The sequence below is a fragment of the Homo sapiens genome, chromosome 8 (assembly GCF_000001405.40).
Source record: "Homo sapiens chromosome 8, GRCh38.p14 Primary Assembly".
Taxonomy (NCBI): Eukaryota; Metazoa; Chordata; class Mammalia; order Primates; family Hominidae; genus Homo; species Homo sapiens.
The window spans coordinates 41,000,491-41,014,353 of record NC_000008.11 but is presented as its reverse complement, the minus strand read 5'-3'; the positions used below and the strand labels follow the sequence as shown (position 1 = coordinate 41,014,353).

The window sequence follows — 13,863 nt, the reverse complement described above, 5'->3', positions numbered from 1 at the left end:
TCAGATTGTTGCTGTGTCTGTGTAGAGGGAAGTAGACGTAGGAGACTCCATTTTGTTCTGTACTAAGAAAAATTCTTCTGCCTTGGGATGCTGTTAATCTATAACCTTACCCCCAGCCCCGTGCTCTCTGAAACATGTGCTGTGTCCACTCAGGGTTAAATGGATTAAGGGCGGTGCAAGATGTGCTTTGTTAAACAGATGCTTGAAGGCAGCATGCTCATTAAGAGTCATCACCACTCCCTAATCTCAAGTACCCGGGGACACAAACACTGCGGAAGGCCGCAGGGTCCTCTGCCTAGGAAAACCAGAGACCCTTGTTCACTTGTTTATCTGCTGACCTTCCCTCCACTATTGTCCTATGACCCTGCCAAATCCCCCTCTCTGAGAAACACCCAAGAATGATCAATAAATACTAAAAAAATAAATAAATAAATAAATAAATAAATAAATAAATAAAATATTTTAGAAAAAAAAATGCTCAACATCACTGATCATTACAGAAATGCAAATCAAAACCACAGTGAGATACCATCTCACACCAGTCAGAATGGCTATTACTAAAAAGTCAGAAAATAACAGATGCTGGTGAGGAACACTTATACACTGCTGGTGAGAGTGTAACTTAGTTCAACCATTGTGGAAGACAGTGTGGCGATTCTTCAAAGATCTAAAAACAGAACTACCATTTGACCCAGCAATCCTATTACTAGGTATATATCCAAAGGAATATAAATCATTCTGTTATAAAGACACATGCATATGTCTGTTCATTGCAGCACTATTCGTAATAGCAAAGACATGAAATGAACCTTAATGCCCATTGGTAGCAGACTGGATAAAGAAAATGTGGTACACATTCATCATGGAATACTATGCAGCCATAAAAAAGAATGAGCTCATATTCTTTGCAGGAGCATGGACAGAGCTGATGACCATTATCCTTAGCATACTAATGCAGGAACAAAAATCAAATACCACATGTTCTCACGTATAAGTGGGAGCTAAATGATGAGAGCACACAGAAACAAAGAGAGGAACAGCAGACTTGAAGGTGGGCCTACTTGAAGGTGGTTGGGTGGGAAGAGGGAGAGGAGCAGAAAAAATAACTAGAGTACTATGCTTAGTACCTAGGTAATGAAATAATCTGTACAACAAATCCCCATGACATTAGTTTACCTGGATAACAAACCTGCACACGTACCCCTGAACTTAAAAGTTAAAAAAAGGCCTCATTTCTCCTTTTGAGAAACATGTACAGTTCCTTCTCTTCTTTAATGTTTTATATAGATTACTTTCTATGCCAAGACTGTTGTGCTACTAAGATTTCACAGATTCATAAATATACAGAAGTTCTTCAACTCATGATGGGATTACGTCTCAATATACCCATTGTAAATTGAAAATGTCATAGGTCAAACATGCATTTGACTCAACTAATCTTCTGAGTGTCATATCTTAGCCCAGATGACCTTACATGTTCTCAGAACACTTGCATTAGACTACAGGTGAGCAAAATCTTCTAACACAAAGCCCATTTTATAATAAATATTGTTGCAGGTGTGATTGACTGGGCCCAGCCTTGCAGTCAGTAAAAGAATTTACCAACAGTCATGGGTAAAGAAAGGCAGATTTATAAGAGAAAGTATAAAGATATGTTGCCAGAGTGCAATGGATAGCACAGCAGAGAAGGGGCTGTCTGCATAGAGGCAGAGGCTGGAGGGAAGGTTTATAGGGTCATGCTGGAGAGGCTACAAGCAGATAAGGCTATGGTGCTAGGGCTACATGAAGAGCAAGGTATTTGGGAACAGGATGTTGTGCTAAGGAGTAGTTTGTGGTTAGCTGTCTCTCAGAACAATTGCTCCCCCCTACCCTGGGGTTCCCTCCTTGCTACCTTATCTTATCAGGATTCCACAAATGGCTCATGTGATTGAATGAATACAGTACACTGTAAGGCATAGTATTAGTGGTTCATCTTTGTGATAGCATGGCTGGCTGAGAGCTCCAGCTTGCTGCTGCTACCCAGTGTCATGAGGGTATCTTACAGCATATTGCTAGCCCAGGAAAAGATCAAAATTCAAAATTCAAAGTATAGCAGGGTGTGGTGGCTCATGCCTGTAATTCCAGCACTTTGGGATGCCATTGGGGGGCACATTGCTTGAGCTCGGGAGTTGGAGACGAGCCTGGACAACATGGAAAAACCCCATCTTTATAAAAAATACAAAAATTAGCCAGGTGTGGTGGCATGCGCCTGTAGTCCCAGCTACTTGGGAGGCTGAGGTGGGAAGATCACTTGAGTCCAGAAGGCAGAGGTTGCAGTGAGCCAAGATTGTGCCACTGCACTCCAGCCTGGGCAACAGAGCCAGACCCTGTCTCCCTCTCCCCGCAAAAAAAGGCAAGTACAGTTTCTATTGAACGCATATTGTTTTCATACTATTGTAAAGTCAAAAACTCTTGTCAAACCATTGTAAGAGACCATCTGCATATCGTATGTTGAAACTACAAATAGAACAGCCTCCCTTCCTTTCTATATTCTTTTTTTTTTTTTTTTTTTTGCAAATATGGCCTTCTCTCCATGCTGCCTCTCTAATCTTGCTTTAGTTGGTCTTTCGATGATAACAAAAGAATGCCAATCCCTTTTCACCTAAATTTCGTTTTCACCAGTAAATGAATGTTTATTGGCAAAAATTTATTGGTTAAAATATTTATTGGTGAATATTAATTCATTTATTGGTTGGCTAGACTGAATCATCAGTTTAGTTGTCAATAAACATATAAGGAAATATACATATGAGATATATATCTGAATATCTGAAAAGTCACATGTGAAAAACACAGGGGCTATTGAAAAATTCTGTGGACACAAAGTTCTCCCTTAGGAGTCTGTATAAGTGGCTAGACTGTCTTTCGGCATTTATTTTTGTAGAGAAATATGAAGTCAAGGGGTTTTCCTCAATTTACATAACGTTTTTAAAAACGCTTATTTTTTTTCCCGGACTGAAATCTTGTCTTACCTTTTCTTTATCTAATATTTGCATAAAAATTACAAATCAAACATCTGTCTTTTATATAAACTCTCTTTTCACTAATCCTTGTTGTGAAACCTTTTATCTGCATGGTCTTTGTCCTTGTCTGGGTTTTCTAGAAAACAGAGCCTGAGATAAAGCTTATATGCTAAAGCCTCATGGAAAGTATGATCCCAGGAAGGCAAGGCTGAGGGCAAGGCAAGAAGAGAAAGAAAGCAAATATAAGTTGGCGAGTGACAGAGCTGGCTGTAGCTTCTCATTCCTTGATTATAAGTGTGTCTTCCAGAGGTGCCATGGGACCACTGCACCTTAGAACCACCACTCTTCCCTTGGTTATGAGCACGTCTTCCAGAGTTGCTGCGGTACCGCTGCACCTTGGAACCATCATTGGGTGCAGAATGAGAGAGAAATCGATCTGTTGCTCCTTACAGTCTCTTGCCTTTCATTGCTCGGAGTTCCTCCTTGGGTGTTAACTTTCTCTCCTTTCCAGGTCCTGATGTGCTGCCTCTTCCAGCAGCCACTGGGGAAGCCACACCCAGTCCCCTGAATCAGGGTGTGCCATTGGGGTTCAGAAGTGCAGGAAGGAGGATCAGGGCCTCTGGGGTCAGATGGGATCTGGCCTGGCTGCTGAGAGCTGCCTGGCTTCAGTCACAGTGATCTGTGGAGGCCTGGCCTACTCTTACCAACGGAGGAGTGGCGCTCGCCTCTTGGGACGTGAGGCAGTGATGGGGTCAGGAGATGAGCAAGTGGCCAAGCATCCTTGGGGCCAGAGGCACCAAACAAATCCAAGGAGGAGCAGGAACTACAGCGAGCACATTTGCAAGCTCGTGCTTCTCAGGCGAGAATTTCCTTTCCTTTCCTCTAGATTCACAATCTTAGGTTTAATTTTAAAAGAAGTTCTTGGTTCTCTGTATTTAAATTTTGGGGTGTTCTTTAGGTTTGTTTTACAAGTAACTCTTTCAGCCCCTTTCCCAATGGCTTTTCTGCTCTTCACTGCCTACATTTAATCCTGATCTTGCATTTTTCGTTTCCTTGAAATCTTCACCTCATTTAGATAATTCTGTCATTCTTTTGTCAGAATCTGTTCTTTCCCTCTTATAAATACTAAATTAATTTTCTAAGGATTTTCATTCAGTTGAAATAGCAAATAATTTTAGAGGATTTTAAAAAATCATCAGTTCTATTTTCCTTGATCTCAGCATTTTTCCCTACTTAGATATCTTGCCAGTATTTTTCATCTTTTTCACTCGAACAAGAGGGATAAACCTATCCTGATGAGCTTTGTAGATTGTTGTTGGCCCCACTCTGTCTATAATACGCACTGGTTAAACTGTATTTTGGGCATCAAATTTCACAGTGTTTGCAGGCTTTCCTTCAGTGTTACTCCCCTAGAATGAGAGAAAATTTCTCTTATTTCTATGGCCCAGAGATCATACACACTCCCCGTTACACACACATACACTCCGTTTGTAAGGATGCATGACCCAGGTGAGCATTAAGCCTCCAGCTTCTCCTTTAATGCTTTCTTTGAGGGGGTCATATCTCCCAGCATATCCACTTTCAAGGGCCTCTTCCTACTACTGATATGATTTCTGGATGCTATAGCCCTTGACTGGATATAGAAAGAGGTAATGTATGCATCAAAAAAGCTTGGTGCAATAAATACAGAGCTAATTGGTGGTGTGGTGTTTTTCTAGCCAGGGGCCAGGTGATGGGATAGAGGTGAGGAATTCAACCACCTTCTTTAAGAAAGATAAGATTGCTCTGTTACTGCCAACATCAGGTGGATGGAGAGTTTTTCAGTTCAGTTCCACCTGCTTTATAGTCAGTGGAAATTTCTACCAGACTGTGGAAATAGATTAGCCATCAGTTCTAGTGTTCACTGTTTTTTTCAGTTTTCGTCTTCCTCTGTGTCTTTGTGGGCATTTAGAGAGGGGCTACATCAGAGGCCGCTGGTCCCAGGACACTTTAGGGTAGACTTCCTCTGAGTCTATCATTGTGCCCTCGCCAACAGCCCCACACATGAGCCCCCTCCTCCTTAAATTAGACACCTCCTTGCTGTTAGCAAACCCTCTACTCTTGTTCCCCATACCAGTACACCTCTCTTATTTCCTGTGCAGTCTCAAATTCTGAACATCTTGCAGTTTTCACTTCTTGCTTGAAGTTCTCCTGGCTGTTCCAGCTCTCCCTTGATTCCTAGGCTCCTGGCAATCTGTGCTGTGCAATTGTGCAAGTAGTTACCAAGGGCCTGGTCCTGTACATATGTTGGATTTCTTCCACTAGATTCTCAGTTTTGACAGAGAAGGGGTCGTGCCTTATTTATCCTTCTGTCTTCTTTATGGAAATAGACATGTAGTAGACAGTGTCCTTTTGTGATAGCCGCCTATGGGTGTGGCATTTTAGAAACATATCTAGAAGCCATCTTGATACCCACATTTGCTCCAAAGAATTTAATATTGCCGTATCAGTAAACTCTTTTATTAGGGGGTAAACACAAGTGTGTAAGACAAGTTCAACTACCTATCTATGTGTTCATCTATATGACCTTTTTTTCCCTGATCTCTGAAAAAGAAACTCATATATGAACTCTTTACTGAAAAATATGTAGTTCATTAATATGCCGATGAATATCAAGGTTAAGAACACAGGTTCTCAGCTGGGTCCGGTGGCTTATGTCTGTAATCCCAGCATATTGGTAGGCTGAAGCGGGAGGATTGCTTGAGTCCAGGAATGGGAAACCAGCCTGAGCAACATGGTGAGACTCCCTCTCTACCAAAAATTAACTGGGCACAGTGGCACGTGCTGGTAGTTCCAGCTACTCAGGAGGCTGAGGTAGGAGGATCCCTTGAGCCCGGAAGGCAGAAGTTTCAGTGAGCCAAGATAGAGCCACTGCACTCCAGCTTGGGTGACAGAGGAGACCCTGTCTAAAAAAAAAAAAAAAAACACACAGGTTCTGGTATTAGATGCCTTAAGGTGGAATCCTGTTTCTGACATTGGCTCAGTTTTGTCTTCTGTAAAAGGGACAAATATATTATTATCTGCTACAATAGTGTTTTTGTAAGGATTAAATTATTTAGTAGCATTTACTTAATGAATACTTACCAGTGCTGGGAAATGGTTATACTGCATAAGCTGGCCTTCTTCATTTCAAACCCATTGCTGGTCTCACATTGGATGTTTTCTCCCCACTGCCTAGAGTGTCCACAAAAATATTTTATACAAGCCTCACCCTCTCCCCACAGCTTTATCACCATCTTTACCTGGGGTTTACTCCTCCAGGGACACCTGACTCACATTTCATTCAATGAGTTTTTTTTTTTTGTTTTTTTGTTTTTTGTCTTTCCTGAGAGTTTTGGGATGGAAGCAAATGCTATTTTGGTCTCTTTTCAATAGGAACTGGAAGAGAACACCAAGACTGTCTCTCAAGTCAGCAGTGGGCACCCTACGACCTCCACGGTGGATTACCCGTCATGCCTACTTGACCCACTTGGATTTGTTGTCTTGTGGAGTCTCACATTTGCTGTTAACTTTTCAATTATTAGCCTTGCCTCTCCAAAACTTTCAAAATCTCCCTTGCAGAAAGAGAAAGAAAGTAATTTATTGAGCAATTCCAGGTACCATGCTTGGTTCATTTGGTTCATTTTGTATTTATCAGGTAGTTTAGCCCATATACCACCTCCAAGATGCATCATTCACATTTTCTCTCTCTCTGTCTTTTTTTTTTTTTTTTTTTTTTTTTTTTTTTTGAGATGGGTGCTCAGTACTCTCTTCAGGAAGATGGGTAGTTTAACCCATATATCAACTCCAAAATGCATTATTCACATTTTCTTTTTTTTTCTTTTTTTTTTGAAATGGAGTCTTGCTCTATTGCCCAGGCTGGAGTGCAGTGGCACGATCTCAGCTCACTGCAACCTCCGCCTCCCAGATTCAAGTGATTCTCCTGCCTCAGCCTCCCAAGTAGCTGGGACTACAGGCATGCACCACCGTGCTAAGTTAATTTTTGTACATACATATATATATATTAGTGGAGATGTGGTTTTGCTATGTTGGCCAGGCTAATCTCAAATTCCTGACCTCAAGTGATCCTCCCACCTTGGCCTCCCAAAGTGCTGGGATTACAGGCATGAGCCACTGTGCCTGGCCCATTATTAATATTTTCTAGCTGAGGAAATGAAGGCTCCAAGAAATTGTGACTTGCCTAAGATCACATAGGCATGAGCAGGTTTTAGTACAAAACACTTAGCATTGAGTCTTACATATAGTTAGAATTCATTAAAGAGCCACGCAAAAGTCATCCTTAAAAACAAAACAAAAGAAAACAAAGCCACCTTTTGGACAGAATGCAGGAGGATATGTCAGTCAATGTGATCACATGCATATGTGTTTTCTCCTGTTGCCACTGAGTTTGAGTCCTCTCTCTTGCTTCCTGAGACACAGGATGTTCTGTGGCAATGCTGAGATCGCTTGTGACAACATGACTCAGGTATCTGTTACAAGAAAAATTTCCCAGGACATACACTACAAACCTGTAGACAACCTCAGTGCTCTTTTCAGGAAGCCCCTACACTTCAGTTATTGGAGACAACTGTCCGTTCACCTGGGGAAATGGCTCACTTACTGTCTTGGTTTGTTCCGGCTGCTGTAACAGAATACCGTAGACTGGGTGGCTTATAAACAACAGAAATGTATTTGTCACAGTTTTGGAGGCTGGGAAGTCCAAGATCAAGGTGCCGGCAGATTCGGTGCCTGGTGAGCCCTCTTCCTGGAACAAAGATGGTGCCCCTACCTGTAATCTCACGTGGTAGAAGGGGCACAGCTGCTGTCTTACGTTTCTTCCTATAAGGGCACTCCTCTCATTGAAGAGGGCCCCTCCCTCATGACCTAACCACCTCCCAAAGGCTCCCTCTCCTAACACCATCACATTGGTGATTAGGGTTTAACATATGAATTGTGTGGGGACACAAACATTTAGACAACAGCACTTATTAAATCGAATTTTACTTATCAGGACCTGCTTCAGGGTTCTTGCTTTGCTGTGGCTGCTGCATCTAAAGTCTTTTATCACAAATCTTCCCAGTCAGTCCCCTGCCTTGAATGACCCAATTTAACCACTTGAGCTGAGACATCAAAGCCACAAAAATATCTCACTTCTCTCCGCCCCCTTCTGAGACTCTGTCATGGCAGTGTTCTCTCTTATGGCAATGCCTAGAAATACAGTGGCTTTTACTTTATTAACAGGTTTCCTGGTGACATTCTGGGGAGTCAAACACCCCTGAAGTCTTGGCTTATTTTCATCTTTGACAAGATGATAGCTTTGGGTTGGCTGTTTGGAATACTAGGTTCTGGTGACAAACTCTGAGTGACTGTTTGAGAAAAGGCACTCCAAATGGCCTGTGATGAAGACTCACTTTCATTTCCCTTTCACCAGGGGCTAGGCAAGGGCTGCATAGCTTCTGTTAGTGTCTAGCCTTTTTTCAGAAGCCAGTCTATAGAACAAGTCAAAGGTATAGCTTCTGCTTTCTTGGAGTTGAAATGTGATACACTCAGAGGACGCTCTTTTAAGCCAAGGCTTCTATTAAAATGTTAAGCATATAACCTAGTGAGAGGAGAGCACTGTGGTTTTTTTTTTTTTTTTTTTTTTTCTGAGACAGGGTCTCACTCTGTCCCCCAGGCTAGATTGCAGTGACATGATCTTGTCTCACTGCAGTCTCGACCTCCCAGACTCATCTGAAGAGGGCCCCACCTCAGCCTCCCAAGTAACTGGGATCACAGGCACACGCCACATACCAGGGATTTGCCACGTTGCCCAGGCTGGTCTAGAGCTCCTGGGCTCAAGCAATACTCCTGTCTTGGTCTTCCAAAGTGCTGGAATTACAGGCGTGAGCCACCACCCCCAGCCGGGAACACTTATTTTCATATAAAATTTGCATACCTTATTGTATAAAGGGTTGTGGAGAAAATCTTCAGTCCATCCAAACTACCCTTTTCTCCTTCCATAAAACCATTTTTATGCTTGGGGTTTTGTGAGGATGTGGAAATATCCTTTGTGGGTCTGAATTATTGTGTGTGAAAATTTTAAAGTAGAAGTTGTTTATGTGACTCACACTATTGTATTGCAGGAACATAGAATTCTGACTTAATAACTTAAACAAAATAAAATGCATTCTTCCACATAACAAGGGGCCTGGGATGAGACAGAGCCAGGCATGGCGCACGGGGCAGGGCCTCGCTGTGGTTCTCTGGGCTCCTCTGGTTTCACTCTCAGTCTGGGGCATGGTCGCTGGGGACATTCCATTCCAGGCCTTGCCTCCAAGCATAACAAAAAAGGGGTGCTTATTCCTTTGTCTCATTCTTGAGGGTGAGAGGTCCTTCTCAGGAGCACCCTGGCATACTTCCTGTCATGTATTCTTGGCCAGAATTAAGTCATCTGTCTATTGTTAAGCCAGTCAGGGCCAGGAGGAATGGCATGAAGCAACATTGGCTCAGAATAGTCAGGCTGGCCTTGGGAATGGGGTCTCCTTCTCCTGAACCACTCAGGGCAGATACTGAAACAAAATAGGACTCTTTTAGAAAGGAGGAGGGGGAAATGGATAATTGATGGATAACTAACAATGTCTGCTAGATTGGCACATTTAGTATAGCATTCTATACATGTACTGTACCGCACCTTACATGTAGCCTATAGCACCATACACATAGTGTATCTCACTATATATGTGACACAGAGCATGCATCCTCACCTCGAAGTCCCCTAAGATGATGGTAGAAAAGGGGACTTGTTCAAAGTATGAAGCATAAATTGGGAGCTGGTTTATTTCCCCTGGGACTCTTAACTAATAACTGTTAGGTCAGTGGTTCTAGAGTACAGGGGTTCTAGAGTCTTCTCTGGTGATCTTAAGACATGTAGGGAGGGCAGGGCTAGAGGCTTCTGATGGCCACTTTGCAAATCACATCATAAACAAATGAGTGGGTAAAATCCTCAAGCCACCTCCTGGAGCGTGAGCGGTTTTTAGAACTTCTTTCTCAGAATTCCATAAAAAGCAACTCTAGTTGCTCATTTGTTTTGAAGCTCAGAAAAGGGTTAGCAAGCCAAGAACCAAAGAAGAGGCTGAGACTTTTCCAATTCCTATTTTCTACTCTCACAGTAAATAAAGATGGGAGGGAGAAACAATAAAATCTTCTTAGAGATGCCAAGGGCATCTGCCTTTGCTCTCACTTTGGTCCCCAGATAGCCTAGTACAAAACTGTCTGTTGCCGGAGGAAACTATTATGAACCTATTTCAGGATTTTGCAATTCAAACTCAATATAAACCCCTCTATGGTACTTGCAGGATATTCACAGATGATGTTCACGTCAATAGCAAAGGTTATTATTTTCTCATTCCCTCACCTTCTCTTGTTCCACTGCCAAGGTCTAGAGGCCTCTACATCTGGGTTGGCCACAAATCCTACTGAAATTCCTGGTAGGATGGTATCTATGTTTGTCTCTGGCTTGTATAAAAAAAACTTCATATTTTTATGGCATTTTCTACTTTTTCAGGCATGCTTATATTTCAAAATAGCTTTGCAAGATAATTACCCCAGCTTCATACGTAAGCCGCATAAATGAAAGACAGTGAGTTCATTTACATTTGTGATAGTGACAATTTTGAGTTCAGAAAGGTAAGTTGTTCCCTATGGGCATGTGATGAGGTGGGGTTAGGGAGAAACGGAGCTGGCCTCTACATCTTCTGACCTCACTCTCAGTATACTATTTTATATGTGGTACATTTTCTCACTGGACTCCAATGTAAATAGAACCTGCCCTGCCTTATAGTGATGAGGTAAAGGATTATTTTGGGGGGACTGGGGGACAGAAGAAGACATAGGAAAAAGAGGACATGGGGATGTGGGCTTCCTATGCGATCTCTGGACCCTCCAAGTGTTCTGAAAACAGAAAATGTCTCTCAGCTACTTCCTAGGTTAGGGGATGGCTGAGTCCAATCACTTTATGTAGCTTCCATTTTTTAACCATTCAACACATTTTTATGAGTGAGGCCAAGTTAAGAAAATCCAGAAAAAGTTTGAAGAGGTAAAAAGGAATCTTGAGAGTCAGTCGATTCAGCAATCCCTCTACTGGGTATCTACCCAAAGGAAAAGAAATCACTAAATCAAAAAGATACCTGCACCCATATGTTTATTGCAGCACTGCTCACAATAGCAAAGTCACGGAATCCACTTATGTGTCCATCAACAAATGATTGGATAACGAAAACGTATATATACACCACGGAATACTATTCAGCTCTAAAAAAGAATGAAATCAAGTCTTCTGCAGCAATGTGGCCCTCAAAACTGAAGGCCATTATCTTAAGTGAAACAACTAGAAACAGAAAGTCAGATACTGCCTGTTCTCATTAATGAGTGGGCGCTAAATAGCATGTACACATGGATAGACTGTAGGATGACAGACGTTTAGACTCAGAAGAGTTGGGGGGTGAGGGATGAGAAATTACTTAATAGGTGGAATATGCACTATTTGAGTGATGGCTACACTAACAGCCCAGACATCACCTCCATGCAAGATATCCATGGAATAAAAATGCACTTGTACCCCTTAAATTTATACAAATACAAAAAATGTTTCAAGGTTAACTTAAAAAAAGGCAGTTGGAGGAACCTCCAAGTTCTTTTAGGATCATAGTGGCTGCCAAAATTTTAATCTCTCCATATGTTCTGCAAAAACCATATAGAGCAACAAAGAGAGCAAGTCATAGTATCTATAACCCATGTCTACAACATTACTAGACGACAGCGAACACTGCAAGCTTCAGTGCGGGTGTAATTAAGGGACAGACATCTGAAACAATAGCGCCAGCGCTGGCACCCTCCCCACAGTGGAGTCAGATGGGCACTGCAGAGCAGAGGGAAGGGCACCCGGGCCCCAGCAGGGAAGGAGCTCAGATGAAATTACTCTTAGGAAATGAGAGAACCGGCCAGGCACGGTGGCTCATGCCTGTAATACCAGCACTTTGGGAGGCCGAGGCAAGCAGATAGCCTGAGCCCAGAAGTTTGAGACCAAGCTGGGAAACATGGCAAAACCCCGTCTCTACTAAAAACACAAAAATTAGCCGGTTTGGTGGTGTGCACCTGTAATCCCAGCTACTTGGGAGGCTGAGGCATGAGAATTGCTTGAGCCCTGGAGACAGAGGCTGCAGTGAACTGAGATCAGACGACTTCACTCCAGCCTGGGCAACACAGTGAGACCCTGTCTCAAAACAAAACAAAACAAAACAAAAAAAAGTGAGGTCACTCTGAGTATGAGTGGGGAAAATGAAAACAAGTGTGAGCTGTGTGAACCTGACAAAAAGCTACTGAAGGATCAAAAGGAAAAAGTATTCTCAGGGCAGTGGCTCATGTCTGTAATCCCAACTCTTTGGGAGGCTGAGGCAGGAGTATCACTTGGGCTCAGGAGTTCAAGACCAGCCTGGGTAATCTAGCAAGACCCTGTCTCTATTTTAATTAAAAAGAAGGAAGAAGAAGAAGAAGGAAGAAGGAGGAAGAAAGGAAGAAGAAGAAGAAGGAGGAGGAGGAAGAAGAAGAGGAGGAGGAAGGAAGAAGGAGAAGAAGAGGAGGAGGAGGAGAAGAGGAGGAGGAGGAGGAGGCAGCTGCAGAAGCATAAACACGTAGTGGACCGGAGGTGGCGGTCTCAGGAAAGCGCCAGTTCTGGCTGGTAACTCAGAGAGGGCAGGTGTTCTTTGGAGGCTTAATGGGAAAGAGAAAGAAGGAATCCAGAGACATAAATTAAAGTTTCTATGGAAACAAAAGAGCACCACAGGATCAAAATACACACCCAATCATTCCCCATAAAAGACATTTGTACTAAAACAAAAGCAACAAACTGCATCTTATTATAGTGAAAGATGAGTGGAATCTTGAACTAAGAAATGTAGTCCCCTAAATCCTCCTGCCCACCTACATCTGTTATTGCTGACCCAGGAAAATATTAGACCCGCTAGAGGAACGCAGCACAAAGGACAACTTCCATACAGAGCCACCGTGAGATGAAAATGGGAAACGACAATGAACGCTACCCTCCCCATCAAAACCACCACAAACTAGGGGAAAGCGTAAGTAACACCTCATCCAATCTACGCCTTCTTTGCGAATAATTCTCAGATTGGAAGCAAATATCTTGGATCAGAAAACTAAAGGCAAAGTGACTAACTCGACAAAAATTTAAAGACAAAAATGACAAAAGCCAGAAATTTGTGAAATGAATGATGGATTGCTATCAGAAAAGATAAGTAAGAACCATCTCAGAAATAAAAACTTCATCACAAGATTCATTGAGAGAATGGATTCACTTGAAAATAAAACAGGGAAATTGAAGAAAGGAATGAAAATACCCAAGAGAACAAAAATAAAATTAAAATAAGAGGTAAAAATGGGATCACAAAGACAATAACAGCTATAAATAAATAGGCAAAGAAAATCTCACTTACATGTAATTGAAATAGAGGAGTCAGACTAAGGAGATAGAAGAACAGCAACAACAACTAATATTTATGTAAAGCTATGGCACAAAAACTCTTTCTGAAAATAAAGACAATTTTCATATTTCAAAGATCTGTTGATATGTTCTCAACAGTCTTAATAAAACAATCTGACTTTAAAGACAAAGGAAAAAATCCTTTAAGTGCTCAATACAATCCTCCAAGCCATTTACAAAGAAAAGAAAATTGTGCTGGCGTCAGCATTCTTAACTTCAAAAGAGAGGCAAGACAATAGAAGAGCAATATTGTAATAAATAAATTTGTAAGAATAGAAGAACACTAAATATTATGAGTTCTAATAAAGT

At 42.0% G+C, this 13,863-nt stretch overlaps 1 annotated feature.

Annotated features, from left to right (window-relative positions):
• Positions 1,777-1,977: a silencer, noted in NCBI's record as "peak7001 fragment used in MPRA reporter construct". NCBI's record gives its function as "represses an SCP1 promoter by STARR-seq MPRAs in K562 erythroleukemia cells {active_cell/tissue: K562}" and the evidence as "EXISTENCE:reporter gene assay evidence [ECO:0000049][PMID:32103011]".